General features: G+C 43.6%; 1 annotated feature.

The window, feature by feature from the left end:
- Positions 13,280-13,781: an enhancer, noted in NCBI's record as "H3K4me1 hESC enhancer chr5:173586113-173586614 (GRCh37/hg19 assembly coordinates)". NCBI's record gives its function as "activates a minimal SCP1, AML or CMV promoter by ChIP-STARR-seq in primed H9 embryonic stem cells {active_cell/tissue: H9 hESC(primed)}" and the evidence as "EXISTENCE:reporter gene assay evidence [ECO:0000049][PMID:30033119]".

The following is a 15,296-nucleotide window of genomic DNA, read 5'->3' as shown; positions in this document are numbered from 1 at the left end:
CCTCCCTTGGCAGGGTTGTTGTGAGAAGCTGGAGAATTAACACACTTGGAAGGGCATGGTCATCTGCAAAGAAGCTCGAGTAGTGACAGGATAATGGGGAACTGCATGGATGTTGGTGACTCAGGCAAGATGCTGGCAAACTCCCTGCAAAGAATTGGGCACCCAGGACAGCTGGGACAGCTCAGGACATCGGGTGTGGATGCAGGCTGCCAGTAGCTATAGAGAGAGTTCTCTCTTTCCTTCACTCCTTCCTGCTCCTCTCCCATCTCTTGCCCATATTTGGATTTGGACGTGATTCAAAAAAAGGGGAAGAGAGATTGCCCCAAAGAGGGCCCTAGATGCTCCCAGACAATAGCCCTGTAGACTATGCACCTCATGGCTTCCTATCACCTCCTCTGCCTCCAGACAGGGCCCATGGTAACACCTAAAGCAGGGTCTCCACCATCCCCACACCCTAATCTTTGCAGCCAGCTCTGCTCCCTGAGCAACGGGGAATAAATACACAGCCTTCAAGGGTTAGAATTCTCTTGGATTCTTGCTGGCACCCAGTTTCCATGGCAACCTGAAACTCTCCTTCGCCATCTTCAGGAATGTCATTAGGCTGCGAGGGGGAGGCTGCAAACAAAGCCACGATGTGTCAGGCTGCAGCAGATGCTGAGGAGGGCAGCACTGGGGGGCAGAAGCCCTTTTCGTGGCAGGTATTTTTTTTTTTCTTTAAAATAAAATACATAAACCATTCCATTACATCAAACCAACTAAAGCTTCTGTTTTTCTAAGGAAAAAAGCAACAAAACTAATAACATGTGCCTCAATGCCAGTTAAGGGATTGGAAAATATATGCTCATGTTTCAACATAGACACGATAATAACAATAACGATCCTGCTTGCTTTGTCACATTAAACCCTCCCAACCACCTATTCTATGGATGAGAAAACTGAGTTTATGAGACGCAAAGCAACCTGTCTAAGGTCACAGATCAATGTGCAGGGCATAGGGATTTGCAGTCTCTTTCTAACACTGAGTTTCATCCTCAGAGCCTGCTCAGCACTATGGTACACTCACCAGCATGGCGCTTACAGGAGACGGTGGCCATGTCATAAGCACCTGATTCAGGACCCAGGTGGGGAGAAGGGAAGGGGTGCTGGATGCCTTGTTCACTTTCCATCCTCAGGCTGTGGTGCTGATGCAAACCTTCAGCCTGTGCCACTTCCCTTGTGAGGTCTTTCCTCTCCACCTCCATGCAGATGTAAGAGCACCCTCCTCTCAGCCTTTAAAATATTTAGACTTATAGCACTTACCTCATTTACTGAAATTATTTACTAACATATTTGTCCTCCACTAGACTGGGAATGCTCTGAGGGCAGAGACTGCATCTGGTTCACTACTGTGATTCAAGCATGTAGCAGGTGCTCGGGAATTTGTGAATGGTTGACTGGCACATGCACCCACACACATGCAGATGGACAGTGAGAAAAAGAAAGCATGCAAATGTGAGCAAAAGTTGTTTAAAGCTAAGCCAATGAGAGATGGTACTGGGATGAGTTATTTTTCTATTTGAAAATCTCTTTGGAGTTTTTGGAACACGATTTGCATGATATAAACAAGTCTGATCTGTTGTTGCACCAGTGACCAGGCTCATAGCATGGCTATCTAGGCATGCTCAAGGACTGGAGGCATCTTGTCTTATCTTGTTAAGCACCATTAACATCTCTGGATAGTCTACCCACTTAGAGAAAAATCTATGGCCTTAAATGCATTTATTAGAAAACCACAGAGGTTGACAAGAAGGGGCCTTAGCATGCATCTTTTTAAAAAAAGGCAGAAAGAACAAAATAACCCACTGTCTAAAGCAGGGGTCCCCAACGCTGGGTCCACTAGGAACGAGGCCGCAGAGCAGGAAGTGAGTGGCAGGTGAACAAGCGTTACAGCCTGATCTCTACCTCTTGTGAGATCAGCAGCAGTATTAGATTCTTATAGGGGTGCAAACCCTATTATGAACTGTGCTTGTGAGGGATCCAGGTTGCACACTCCTTACCAGAATCTAATGCTTGATGATCTGAGGTGAAACAGTTTCATCCCAAAACCATTCTTCCCCCCACTCCCCACCCTATCTATGGAAAAATTGTCTTCCATGAAACTGGTCCCTGGTGCCAAAAAGGTTGGGGACCACTGCTCTAAAGGAAGCAATTTAAAAGGATGAAAGCAGAAATTAATAAAATAGAACACAAGCAAAACAAAGTCAGTAGATTTGATCAATACAACCAATGATGATTCTCTAAAAAGATTAATATAATAAACAAATTTCTGGCAATTCTTATAAAAAAAAACCCAGAAAGACCATATTAAAAAGTAGCTTAGAAATGACAGAAGGAAAGGAACCCTTACAGATAAAGGTGATATTAGAAATATATGTAAGAATGCTTGGTACAACTTACTGTCAATAAATGTGAGCATCTAGATAAAATGAATTATTTCTTAGGAAAATATAAATTATTAAAATAATTTCAAGAAGAGTTAGAAAACCTAAATAGATTAATAAACATAGAAGAAATTAGAAAGTTAGCCAAAGATCTACTCCTTAAAAAGGAAGTAAACTAAGATAATTTATGGCAAGTCTTACCAAATTTTCAAAAAAACTTGTAATTTATGATACATAAACTGAACATCAAATAAGGTGAAATCATTTCTCCTTCATCTCTGAGAAAAACTCTTGACATCAAAACTGGAAAAGGAAATAGTAGGCTATATTCACCAAGAAACATAGATATAACATGACCAATCAAATATTAGCAAATTAAACCTAGCAATATATTAAAATAATAATGCCAAGGATATTTTACTATGTAATACTTTTAAAATATTAATATTAACACAAATGTTAATATTAATACAAATTCCTAACATACTAGCTTAGAAAATACCCAAATTAATAAAAATATTAATATTAATATTAATACTATTATATTAATAAAAATATTAATATTTTTATTAATTTGAGTATTAATATTATATATTAATTATATAGTTAATATATAATAAATTAATACTAATACCATTAATATTAATATTAATACAATTAATATCAATATTAATACAATTGATATCGATATTAATACAATTAATATTAATACAAATATTAATATTAATACAAATAATACAAATATTAATATTAATACAAATATTAATATTAATACAAATATTAATACAATTAATATTAACACAAATATTAATACAAATAATATTAATATTAATACAAATTGCCAGCTTAATAGATTAGAGAAGAAAATACCCAAAAACACTTGGTCAAATTAAACACCTAAATAAAAACCATAACCTAGTAGTTAATGCTTAACAAACATCAGATGTACTGGTGAAATATAGAAGCATTCTCTCTTAGGACTTGAACAAGTAATGATGCTTTCTGTATCATTCTTGCTATACAACATTGTTATCAGTATCTCAGCCAATGCAATAAAGCAAGAAAAAATAAAAGTAATAAAACTTCAAACATGGAAAATTGTCATTATTTGTAGGCAATAGTATTATCTCCCCAGAAAATCAGCTAACAAAATAACAAGACTAATAAGAGAAATCAGTAAACAGGGAGTAGATACATGCACAACATTCAAAAATCAGTAGTTTCTATTACTACATAATAATCAATTAGAAAATCAAATTAAATTTTCCATTCATAATAAAAATAAAGAAACATACATATAGTATCTAGGAATAAACCTAATAAGAACTATGCAAGAAGAAAATTATTAAGCCTTATGAAACAAATGTCACAACCATTTTAAAAACCTTAAATAATGAAGATTCATGGCATAATCCTAGATGAGAAGACAAGTTGTAAAAATGTAAAAATTATCTCCACATAATCTTCACATTCAATGTAACCCTAATCATAATTTGAGCATGATTTTTAATAAACTTAAGAAGTTGATTCTAAACTTACCATAAGATGCATACAAATTATTAGGGAAATTGTCAAAAGGAACAATGACATGGAACTTGCTATACCAACATATAAAACCATACTACAGGCCGAGCACAGTGTCTCAAGCCTGTAATCCCAGCAATTTCAGACACTGAGGCAGGCAGATCACCTGAGGTCAGGAGTTCCAGACCACCCTGATCAACATGGAGGAACCTCGTCTATACTAAAAATACAAAATTAGCTAGGCATGGTGGCGCTTGCCTGTAATCCCAGCTACTCAGGGGGCTGAGGCAGGAGAATCGCTTGAACCCAAGAGGCGGAGGTTGTGGTGAGCTGAGATCTCACCATTGCACTCCAGCCTGGGCAACAAGAATGAAACTACATTAAAAAACAACAAAAAACAAACAAACAAACAAAAAACATACTACAAAGCTGTAGTAATTAAAAGTGTGTTTACTGACTCAGAAATAGACAACTGATTAAAAGAACAAAATAGTATAGAAACAGATAAATACATTTAAGAATTTATTTTATGATAAGATATGGCCTACTCAATCAACAATATTTCTCAGCAGAAAAAAATGAGGGTGATAATAAAAAATGTATGGCTATATCATGTGAAAAATAATGAAATGGTTAGTGACATAGATAGATTTCCAATACAAATTGTAAAATGAAAAAAAGGAAAATCATGGAGCAAGGTGCATACTGTAATTCCATTTCTGATTTAAGATGCAAGCATATTTGCACAGGTTTGAACGTAAATGCATAGAAAAGAGTCCAGAAGATGGATGCGAAACTGTTTACAGTGGATACATTTGGGGTGGAAATTGGGATGGAAAGGGAGATGTAAAAAAAAAATCTCACTCTGCTTTGTATTCTTTTAGATTATTTTAACCTCTCACACTGAAAATGAATTCAGTCATGATTTGTTTATATTATGCATTAAGTAACAATTTTTCAGGAAAAGAAAAAAAAAGAACAACAATTCCATCATATACGATGGGAAAGTGGGAAAGACCCCGGTGCCTACAGAACAGGGCTGGAGCTGTGAGGGCCCAGGAAGTTTTCTGAGCTGACCCTCTTCCTCCTCCTCACCTGTCCGGCTGTGCAGAGGCACAGTCCTTCCTCTCTAAAGCCAGTTCTGCCTCTCTGGCTGTCCCCGCTGGAAGTGGCCTCGGACGCCCATGCAGTTAACAAGCCTGCCTTCTCTCCTGGACATCCCTTAGCTGCATCTGTCCCACTCCTACTCTGAGTGCTGGCTCAACCAGGCCAAGGGGGGTTCAGGCCCTCCCATCTGAAACGCGCAGAAATCGGATGCCAGGGCCCCTGTGTCAGTGCCCCTGAGCAAGGAGCCTTCCTCCCCAGAAGGCAAGATGCCACGTGGCCACCTCCCGACCACCAGCTTCTGTCATCTTTCCTCATCATTCCCTGGCCTTCTGTGTCGTAATTATCTTCGCACATCAAGCTGTCTGTTTGCCACTAGAATGAAGAAGAGCAGGGAATTGATTTTTGTTTTTGGTTTGTTCTATCTCCGGCCCCTAGAAGTGTGCCTGGCCCCTGGTAGGCGCTCAGTAAATAGTTACAGGCTGAGTTCAGGAAGTCACATGACCTATTTTACATTCACCAAAATGGGGTCAATTTTATTCTCTTTTGGGAATGTTGGTATGGAGTAAATAGAAGGAAAGCAGCTTCCTCGGCCCAGCCCAGCTCTGAGTAACTGTGCCCCAGAGGGGCTGAACCCCTCATGTGTAGGGCCCCGCTGTGGACACACCTCTCTGATTTCTGACTCCTCAGGGCTGGGTACAGGATGCCCTTCTCACTCATGGTAGGCCCTGTCTCGCTTCTTCTCTCCAGAACAACCTATCTTGTGGGCTTCGGGCCTCTAAGCCATAGTTTCCACTTCCCGAATAATGTAATCCCCAAATTCTCACGTCAAGACAAGTCAGGAGTAGGGCAGCCAGCGCCGTGAATGGCTTCCAGGACAGCAGTCACAGGATTTGCATTTTTTTTGCAAGCTTCATCTCATAAATTTCCCCTGTACACCCTGGCCAAGGATTCATCAGACTAAAAAGATTTTCTGTATCTCCTTTCCACAACCAAACTCAAGGAGAATTTCTAATTTTCTGCCCATCCCCTGTGCTCCATGGCTTTCTTTCCCAGAGTTTTGTGTCACCAAAAGTATTGATTCCTAGAGGAAAAAACCACAATAGATCCAGCCTTTCCAGAGGTCTTAATGAGGAGAGTGCCTGCCAGCCGGAGCCACTGTCATCTGAGTCTCAGTAGGAGTCCAGAAGGACTTTGTCAGAGGACACAGCCAAACACAACCCCCCGGGGGAGAGTCTGACAGGCACCTCAGGAACTGGCCCACCTGGCTCTGAGTCAAAAGCTCTAAGCAGGGCAGCCTGCAGCGTGGAAAAGCCAGCAAGCTTGTGTAGGGAGGAGAAAAGCAGTCACTTTGAAATCTAAGACTTGGGGAAAGAGAACAAACTCCACTGGGCCTCAGTCATCCCATCTATGCAATGGGCATAATCACCCTTCTGTCGTGAAGTTCTGGGCCTATCATCTAAGACAATAATAATCATGAGTGTGACCAGCACAGACAGGGAGCCTCAGAACTACTTCTTTTCCCTCTAGACTTTTCCTATAACCCGGACACTCATCCCTCCACCAAGAAAATGAGCCTCACACACAGCTTTGGTTGTTTGTTTTGCTTTTTGGTTTTTGGAGGTTTTTTTTTTTTCTTTTTTGGTAATCCTTGGAAAGTGTCCATTCAAAGGTCAATTTTGAGCACAGACTGTGTGCTTAGCACTGGGCCAAAGCAGCTTGGGAGATGATAAAGAAACCTAAGAGATGTTTGCTGCCTTGTCAGAGTTTACAATTTGCTTGAGGACATAAAAGTGAGTATTTGCCAGCGATAAGTGTTCGATCAAGGCAGCTTTTACTCAGAAGCCCTGGGAACAGAGTCCAGTGCTGCCTACCACCAGCCATGTCATATGGCTGATAACAACCTCACAATGCCTGGTCCTGTATCCGTAGAAAAGGCATTTTAACATCCACCCTCTTGGATCGTCATGTGACTTTAAAAAAGCATCCATAAAATGATGTTGGTGAAACATTTAATAATGTGCTGGGCGTGGGGCAAACACACACTTTTGCTTTTTGAAATTTATGACCATTGATAATCAGGGAATAATTATGTGCCCCCACAGTCAACATACAGTGGAGCCGTACTGGAGGGAAGCGAATGTGAAATGCTGAGAAACCCGGCCACTGCTGCACCGTCCTCACGTCTCCATTCACCTTGGCTTTTACAACTGTCCTAGATTCCTCCACGGCCAGGAGGCAGGGAGCGCAGTTAGGCCAATGGAGGTGTGCAGGGAGCTAGAGACATTTGGGTTCTAAATCCAGTTTCACAAGCAGCCTGCGGTGTGACCTTGGCTGGTGGCTGACCTTCTCCATCTCTACACCTTCCTTGTCTATAAGACGCCAATAATGACAGTCCCTTCATCACAGGGTGGTGTCAAGGATGAAATCATGTAGGATGTGTAAGACTAGAATGCAATGGGGATCCAGAGATGGCAGCTAATTTTGTCGGGAGAGCTCCAGTCCCCAGCCACATGGTGAGAATGCCAGTTCTGTTCCTCCTTAGAAATGGGAGTTCCCTGGGGTGCTGGGGAGGGGCAGGGAAGAGAAGCAGGGGAGGGAAGGAAGCAAGCGAGATGAAAGACGCTCACACATGCCATGTGAAGGGGTCTGGAAGTGGGAATCAGCATCACACTAAGAAGAGGAAAAAGAGAAACGGGATCCGGGAGCATCCCAGAAATCCCTCAGTCCCTGGCAAGCTGGAACAGCCAGTCACTCCAAAGGCACGATTGCAGTAGCAGCAATGGCACACAGAGAAGCTGGGCTCGGCCAAGAAGACAATGCAGGAGAAGCAAGGGGAGCATTGGAGGGTCCTGGAGAAGAGAGCAAAGTCCCAAGGAAAGCTTTTCACAGATCCTGAGCCATGACTCAGAGAGGAGCTCAAGGCATGGGCATTTGCTTGTGGGACAGCTGGTCAACCACCTCCATAGCCCTACACAACCCTAGCATCATGCGTTGCTGGTGGTGTTGCACAGACATTTTCCAAATCAGTGAAATAGGCACAGCACTGTCACCAAGAGAAGAGATGCTGGAAGAGACACTTGCCATTCAGCCCAACTCATGAGAGTCTGGAAGAAAACTGAGAAGCTCAGAAGAAGGCAGGGCATAAACACTAGAGGACAGGCATGAAGATTAGAGGACAGGGCAAGAAAACTGAGGCATGTGCCCAGCTGCCAGGCAAGGAGGGACTGATGGTTGAAATCCTCAGAGGGATTTGTAATAACTCACATGTGCTTAACTTCACAGTTTAAAGAATGTGACTGTGGGCCGGGCGTGGTGGCTCACGCCTGTAATCCCAGCACTTTGGGAGGCTGAGGTATGTGGATCACAAGGTCAGGAGTTCGAGACCAGCTTGGCCAATATGGTGAAACACTGTCTCTACTAAAAATACAAAAATTAGCCAGGCATGGTGGCGTGCACCTGTAGTCCCAGCTACTTGGGAGGCTGAGGCAGAAGAATTGCTTGAACCCGGGAGGCGGAAGTTGCAGTGAGCCAAGATCGCGCCACCGCACTCCAGCCTGGGTGACAGAGCAAGACTCTGTCTCAAAAAACAAAACAAACAAACCAAACGACAACAACAACAACAACAACAAGCAAAACAGAAAAAGAATATGACTGTGATGCCGTGAAATATATATTTGGGCTTCGACCCAGTTTCCTGGTATACAACTCCTAAAATCCTTAGAAACTCCAAAGTGGTATGTTTTGTTTGCTAATGAGTTGACTCTTGGCTGGGCACCCCTAGGTAACTTCAGGATGGAGCTGGTCACCAGAAAAACCAAGGCAAGACTAGAGGGTTGGGACTTTCAGCCCCACCCTCCATCCTCCACAATGACCATTGGTTTAATCAATCCTGCCCACATAATGAAGCCTCCATAAAAATCCAAAAGGACTGGGTTTTGAGAACTTCTGGATAGATAGACATGTGGAGGCTGACAGGACATTGAACAAGAACTCATCCATGTGCCAGGAAGTTGGTGCACCCCAGCTCCATGGGGACAGAAGCTCCTGTACTTGGGACCCTTCCAGATTTTGCCCTATGTATCTCCTCATTTAGCTGTTTATTCATATCCTTTAAATTATCTTTTGTGATAAACTGGTAAATGTAAGATTTCCCCTGAGTTCTGTGAGCAGTTCTAGCAAGTTAATGGAACCCAAAGAGGGGGTTGTGGGAACCCAACTTGAAGCCAGTCTGTCGGAAGTTCCAGAGGCCCAGACTTGCAGCTGGTGTCTGTAGGGGGACAGTCTTGGAGACTGAGCCCTCAACCCGTGGGATCTGATGCTGTCTCCAGGTTGATAGTGTCGGAATTGAATTAGAGGACACCCAGCTGGTGTCTGCAGCAGAACTGATTGCTTGTTCGCTGATGGGGAGAAATACACACACACACACACTGGGTCTCAGAGGTCTTCTGTGTTGATAATCATTTTGGTGTGAGAGCAGAGGAGAAAGTTTGAGGGTTTATAATTATTAATATTATTATTTGAGACAGAGTCTTGCTCTGTTGTCCAGGCTGGAGTGCAGTGGTGCTATATCAGCTCACTGCGGCCTTCACCTCCTGAGGTCAAGCAATTCTCCTGCCTCAGCCTCCCGAGTAGCTGGGACTACAGGCATGTGCCACCACTCCTGGCTAATTTTTGTATTTTTAGTAGAGACAGGGTTTCACCATGTTGGCCAGGCTGGTCTCGAATTCCTGACCTCAGGTGATCTGCCTTCCTCAGCCTCCCAAAGTGCTGGGATTATAGACGAGCCACAGTACCCTGCCAAAGTTTGAGTTTTTCCACTTTCAGAGACTGTAACTTCCTAAACCGTGACGAGCAGTTACAGTTATGACAATAGCTAACATTTCCAAGCACTTCTATAAAACACTGACAGCTTTTATCTTATTTAAGGCTCACAGCAATCTTATTGTACAGGTACGATCTCTATGCCTATTGTACAGATTAGGAACCCGAGGCTTAGAAATGTCAGGTCACTTGCCCAGATATCCAGGAGCAACAGAAGAGCTCAATAGTTGGTTATGTCCCAGGTTCCCCTCTTTATGTCCAAGGGGGGTGTGTCCCACATGAAGATCCGTCTATTGGCTAAAGAAGGGGGAGTCAATGTTGGGGAGATCAACACCCAAGTCCACACCCCAGGGCACCTCCAGGTACATGCTGTAATCAAACACTTGCCTTTAGCATCAGCTGCATTCAATGAAATCCAATCTAAAATTAAGCCTTGCCTAAATCTTTTCTCATTTTGGTTATAGAGTCATGAAACGTAAAAACTCTTCTAGATGCAAAGTCATTGGCCATACACTCCATATGCCCCAGCTCCCAAAGGCATGTTTTTACATTTCACATTTTCCCCAGTTCTGCTAAAATAGCCACTTCTGACCATTGGTAAAGAACTCTCTCTCTAACTCACAAAACCAATTTTTTCTTTCTATCTCTGAGAAAATGGGGTGTGTAATTATAAGAACCTAATTATCAGCTCTTTCAAAAGAGTCAGGACGCTTGGGCTATGTTTGTGGCATTGCACCCAACAGCGGTAAAAACTCTATTGCACAGTATTATAATTATTGTAATCAATCATGCTATCCTCGCAGTACTAAATGGTGACCTTTCTTCTGGAAACAAAACAAAGTAAACCCCTTTTCTTTTTTATTTTATTTTTTAAGTTCCAGGGTACATGTGCAGGATGTGTAGGTTTGTTACACAGGTAAACATGTGCCATGGTGGTTTGCTGCACCTGTCAATCCAGTACCTATAGGTATTAAGCCCTGCATGCATTAGCAATTTTTCCCAATGCTCTCTCCCACCCAACAGGCCCCAGTGTGTGTTGTTCCCCTCCCTGTGTCCATGTGTTCTCATTGGTGAAGCCCTTTTCAATGACAAATAAGTAGCAGGATGGGAGCCAGTTAATTTAGTGGTCTGAGTCATACAGATGAGAGTTCCCCATTTTGCCCTGACTAGCTGTGTGACCTTGGGCAAGTCACTCAACATTTCAGAGTCTTAGTTTCCTCATCTGTAAAATGGGGTTAAAATGATTTCCCTCACACGGCCATGTGAAGTTAGCAAAATAACACATGTCAAAGCAAGTCCCAGGGTGTCTGGCACAAAAGAAGCACTCACTAAATGGTAGCGTTATTCACATTTAATATATTTAGATTATTTTATTGAATGAGGATGATGGATTGAGAATGCTCTTAGTAAATTGTAAGCTCCTCTCCTTATGTTATAACTGATTGTCCAGCTAAGAAGTTCACTTCTTAGACTTGAGGAATTCACCTCCTCTTCCCCCTTCATCTTGGGAGAAGCCCAGATCATAAAGCTCAAAGAGACATGAAAAGGCCATCAGCATAACTTCCTGGGCCTGTTTCTCAGCTGTAAAACTGGCTGGTCTCTACCTCACTGGCTTGTTGTGAATATTGGTTCAGGGATGTAAAACGTCCTCCTCCGTGCCCAGCACATTGTTGTTGCCCTATAAATGACAGTTTTCTTCCTTTTGGTGCCTTCTGTGCCAGCAAGAACCCTGTCCCTGTTGGAGCAGAGGTGAGCTGACCTCTATGAGGTCACTCTGCTGGATAAAGCTGGAATCTAAACTCCGCCTTGGGCTCCACTCCTGTGGTTCCACTCCTGTACTCCTTCTGATGGTCCACAGCCATCTCATGCATTCACTCAACACAAATCTGCTGAGTGCTTCCCACATGCCAAGCTGTCAGCTGGGCTACTGCAAAGGTCCAGGCTTGACTTAATGAGGGCCTGACCAAGGCCAGTGGCACCAGAAAAAGCTAAGGAGGCAGCTTCTGTCTCTTCTTTCTGTGCCTCCTCTCCCCTCTTCCCTGCTTATTCTCCCTCTCATTTCTTTTCTCCAGGGCTTCACCACCCACCCACACAGCCAGCCACAATCAGATGAAGTTAATAATCAGGGTGTCAGCTTTAAATATAAGTTAGCTCAAGGGGGAGAGAGCCAACCTACTCCCCCTCCCCACCCCCCAAAAAAAACTAACAAGAGGAATATTCCAATTGAGCTAACGCATTACCACAGTCCATGACACAGTTGTGCGGCACCTATTCATCTGCTGGTTCTTGGAAGAAGTATTTATGAACATCTATTAGGTGTTAGATTGTTCTTCTTCTGTAAATGACAAGAGACTGAATATTTAAGGCTTGAGAGCTCTACAGCGTCTATTGCAACAACTCAAGGCTGCTCTTGTGACATAGACAACATGGAAACAAGTGGGGTGGCCGTGTTCTAGCACAAAGTTGTTCATAAAAACAGAAGGTGGGCTGCAGCTTGCTCACCTCTCTGTAAACTCCAGGACACAAAAGAAAACAGGGCCCAGGCCCCTTCCTCATGGAGGTCAGAGTCTGGAAATGAAGATAGACAAGGAGCCCGCACTGGCATCAGAAGAAGATAAAGGCACGATGATAATGGTAATTAGTAGTTCGTGGCATGTCAAGCACCTACTCTGTACCAGACCCTGTACCTAAGTCATTTCATGTATCTTTCCAACAACACTTTGAAGATGGTATTCTCTATCGGCATTTACAGAAGAGAAAAATCAGAGTGACAAGATTTACCTGAACCACATGGCAGTGATCAGTGTTCACTGATTTGAACAGGTGTGTCTGACTCCAAAGCTCACGCTCTGAAATGCCGCCTCTCTATGGAGGCGCAAAGGAGGGAGGTCTCTAACCAGGTCACTTGGCTGGAGCAGGTCACTAATCAAGGTGGTGATTCTTAAGCTGAAACTTCAAGTTTTTATTGAACTTTCCCAGGCAGGAAGCAGGAGGCGAGACAGCTTTCAGAGGCTGGGGAGGGAGAGCAGGCAGGGGAGCCCCCCACACCTCCCTTCTGGCCCCTGGACAAAGCCACCATTGACAGGAGGAAGCCCAGCTAAACTGGGAGAGCCTGAGGGCAGGGCCTGGGTTTTGTCCACTTTGTCTCCCTGGTGCCCTGGAGAAGGTTCTAGAAAGCCTGCTGAGTTGCTGGCCAGTTGCCTCACCAAAGGACACACAGGATGTGTGACTAATGGGGCAGGACTCTTCAAATTCCTGTCCACGCCCTGCCCCTCCCACCTTCCTAAAAGCATCGCAGCTTGGACACTCACTCTCACTGTGATCCTCTACTTTTCAGTACGTTCCAGCCCATGCTCCGCCCCCAGCTGCCACCCAGCCTCTTGGTCACTGAGGCCCCAGGACTGGGAGCCCTCCACAAACCAGAAAGCCCCATTCTGCAGACTTTATGGGCAGAGGACATTAGCATCCCTGGGGTCATGTGGCTGAGGACAATTCCTCTCCAGGGGACTCCCACTCCAAGAGACAAATTTTGAGGGAGGTAACAATCCCCGGAGCCAGTACAACCTCACTGAACAAACGGCTGCCTTGTCGGTTAGCCCAGGCCTGGAGTTGGCCCTGGGCAACATTGCATGGGGTCTCCAGTCCCTGTGTTGAAGCTTCACACCCATCTGGCTGCTGCCACCAGCTGCCGCTCTGGGACCCACCCTCCTGCCCTGCTCTGGCCTCCAAGACAGAGCACTTGTCACCACCTGACGTAATATGTTTTTACTTGTTCATCATGTGTTTCTCAAGAAGAATGTGAGCTCCATGAGGGAAGAAACTTCATTTTGTTCTCTGCTATATTCTTTAAATACTGCCTGGTACATGGTAGGTATTCAAAAAATATTTGTTGAATGAAGGATGGATGGGTAGATGGATGGATGGATGGATGGATGGATGGATGGATGGATGGATGGATGGTTGGGTGGATGGATGGTTGGATGGATGGATGGTTGGGTGGATGGATGGATGGGTCGGTGGGTGGATGGATGGATGGTTGGGTGGATGGACGGATGGATGGGTGGGTGGGTGGGTGGATGGATGGATGGATGGATGGATGGAGTGTGATGGAGCTGCTTTAAACCCTGACTCCACACCGGATTTACTATGTAACAGAGAGTGAGGCAGTTCACCTCTGAGTCTCCTCAATTATCAAACTCAGGGGTTAATAGCATTTAGCTCCTTCACAGGACTGGAGATAAATACTTCACAGCTCATTTTCAGTAGGACCTTCAACTAATCAGGATGGCTGTTGGGCCGATCGGAACTGGCCCTGAGTAGGCCAGCTGAGGGCCAGTGTTGCTCACAGATAAGACCATCCACATAAGATGCCAGCACCCTTTCCATTGCACGGCGAGTGCACAGTAAAATGCATCTGTAACACAGCGATGCCCAGCACATATATTCACTCAAAGAGTTAAAGCTGTTTTACTCATATTATTTGTTTTATGGAATTCTCCCCATTCTATATAGTAACATAACTCATATTCCCATAACAACTTGTGAGGTAAGTGCCACTAATCCCATTTTATTTTTTTAACTTTTTTTTAGGTTTGGGGGTACATGTGAAGGTCTGTTACATAGGTAAACTCATGTCACAAGGGTTTGTTGTATAGATTATTTCATCACCCAGGTATTAAGCCCAGTACCCAATAGTTATCTTTTTTTCTCCTCTCTCTTCTCCCACCCTCCACCCTCAACCCTCAAGTAGACTCCAATCTCTGTTGTTCCCTTCTTTGTGTCCATGTGTTCTCATCATTTAGCTACCACTTATAAGTGAGAACATGTCATATTTGGTTTTCTGTTCCTGCGTTAGTTGGCTAAGAATAATATCCTCCAGCTCCATCCATGTTCCTGCAAAAGACATGATCTCATTCTTTTTAACAACTGCATAGTATTCCATGGTGTATATTTACCACAATTTCTTTATCCAGTCTGCCACCGATGGGCATTTAGGTTAATTTCATGTCTTTTCTATTGTGAATAGTGCTGCAGTGACCATTTGTGTGCAAGTGTCTTTATGGTGGAATGATGTATATTCTTTTGGGTATCTACCCAGTAATGGGAATGCTGGGTTGAATGGTAGTTCTGCTTTTAGCTCCTTGAGGAACTGCCATACTGCTTTCTACAATGGTTGAACTAATTTACACTGTTCCCATTTTAAAGATGAGGAAACTAAGAACGAGAGCAATCAAGACACATGGCAAGTCACACTTTATTCATTCATTCAACAAATTTTTTGAATGCTTGTCATGTACCAGGCACTGTTCAAAAGGCAAGGGATATAGCAGTGAACAAAACAAAGTCCCTATTCTCAGGTAGCTGGCATTCCCGTGGGGAGGGATACACAACGAACAAACAAAAATATAAAATGTCAGGAGATGC

This window comes from Homo sapiens, chromosome 5, assembly GCF_000001405.40.
Source record: "Homo sapiens chromosome 5, GRCh38.p14 Primary Assembly".
Taxonomy (NCBI): domain Eukaryota; kingdom Metazoa; phylum Chordata; class Mammalia; order Primates; family Hominidae; genus Homo; species Homo sapiens.
This window is presented reverse-complemented; position numbering and strand designations above follow the sequence as displayed.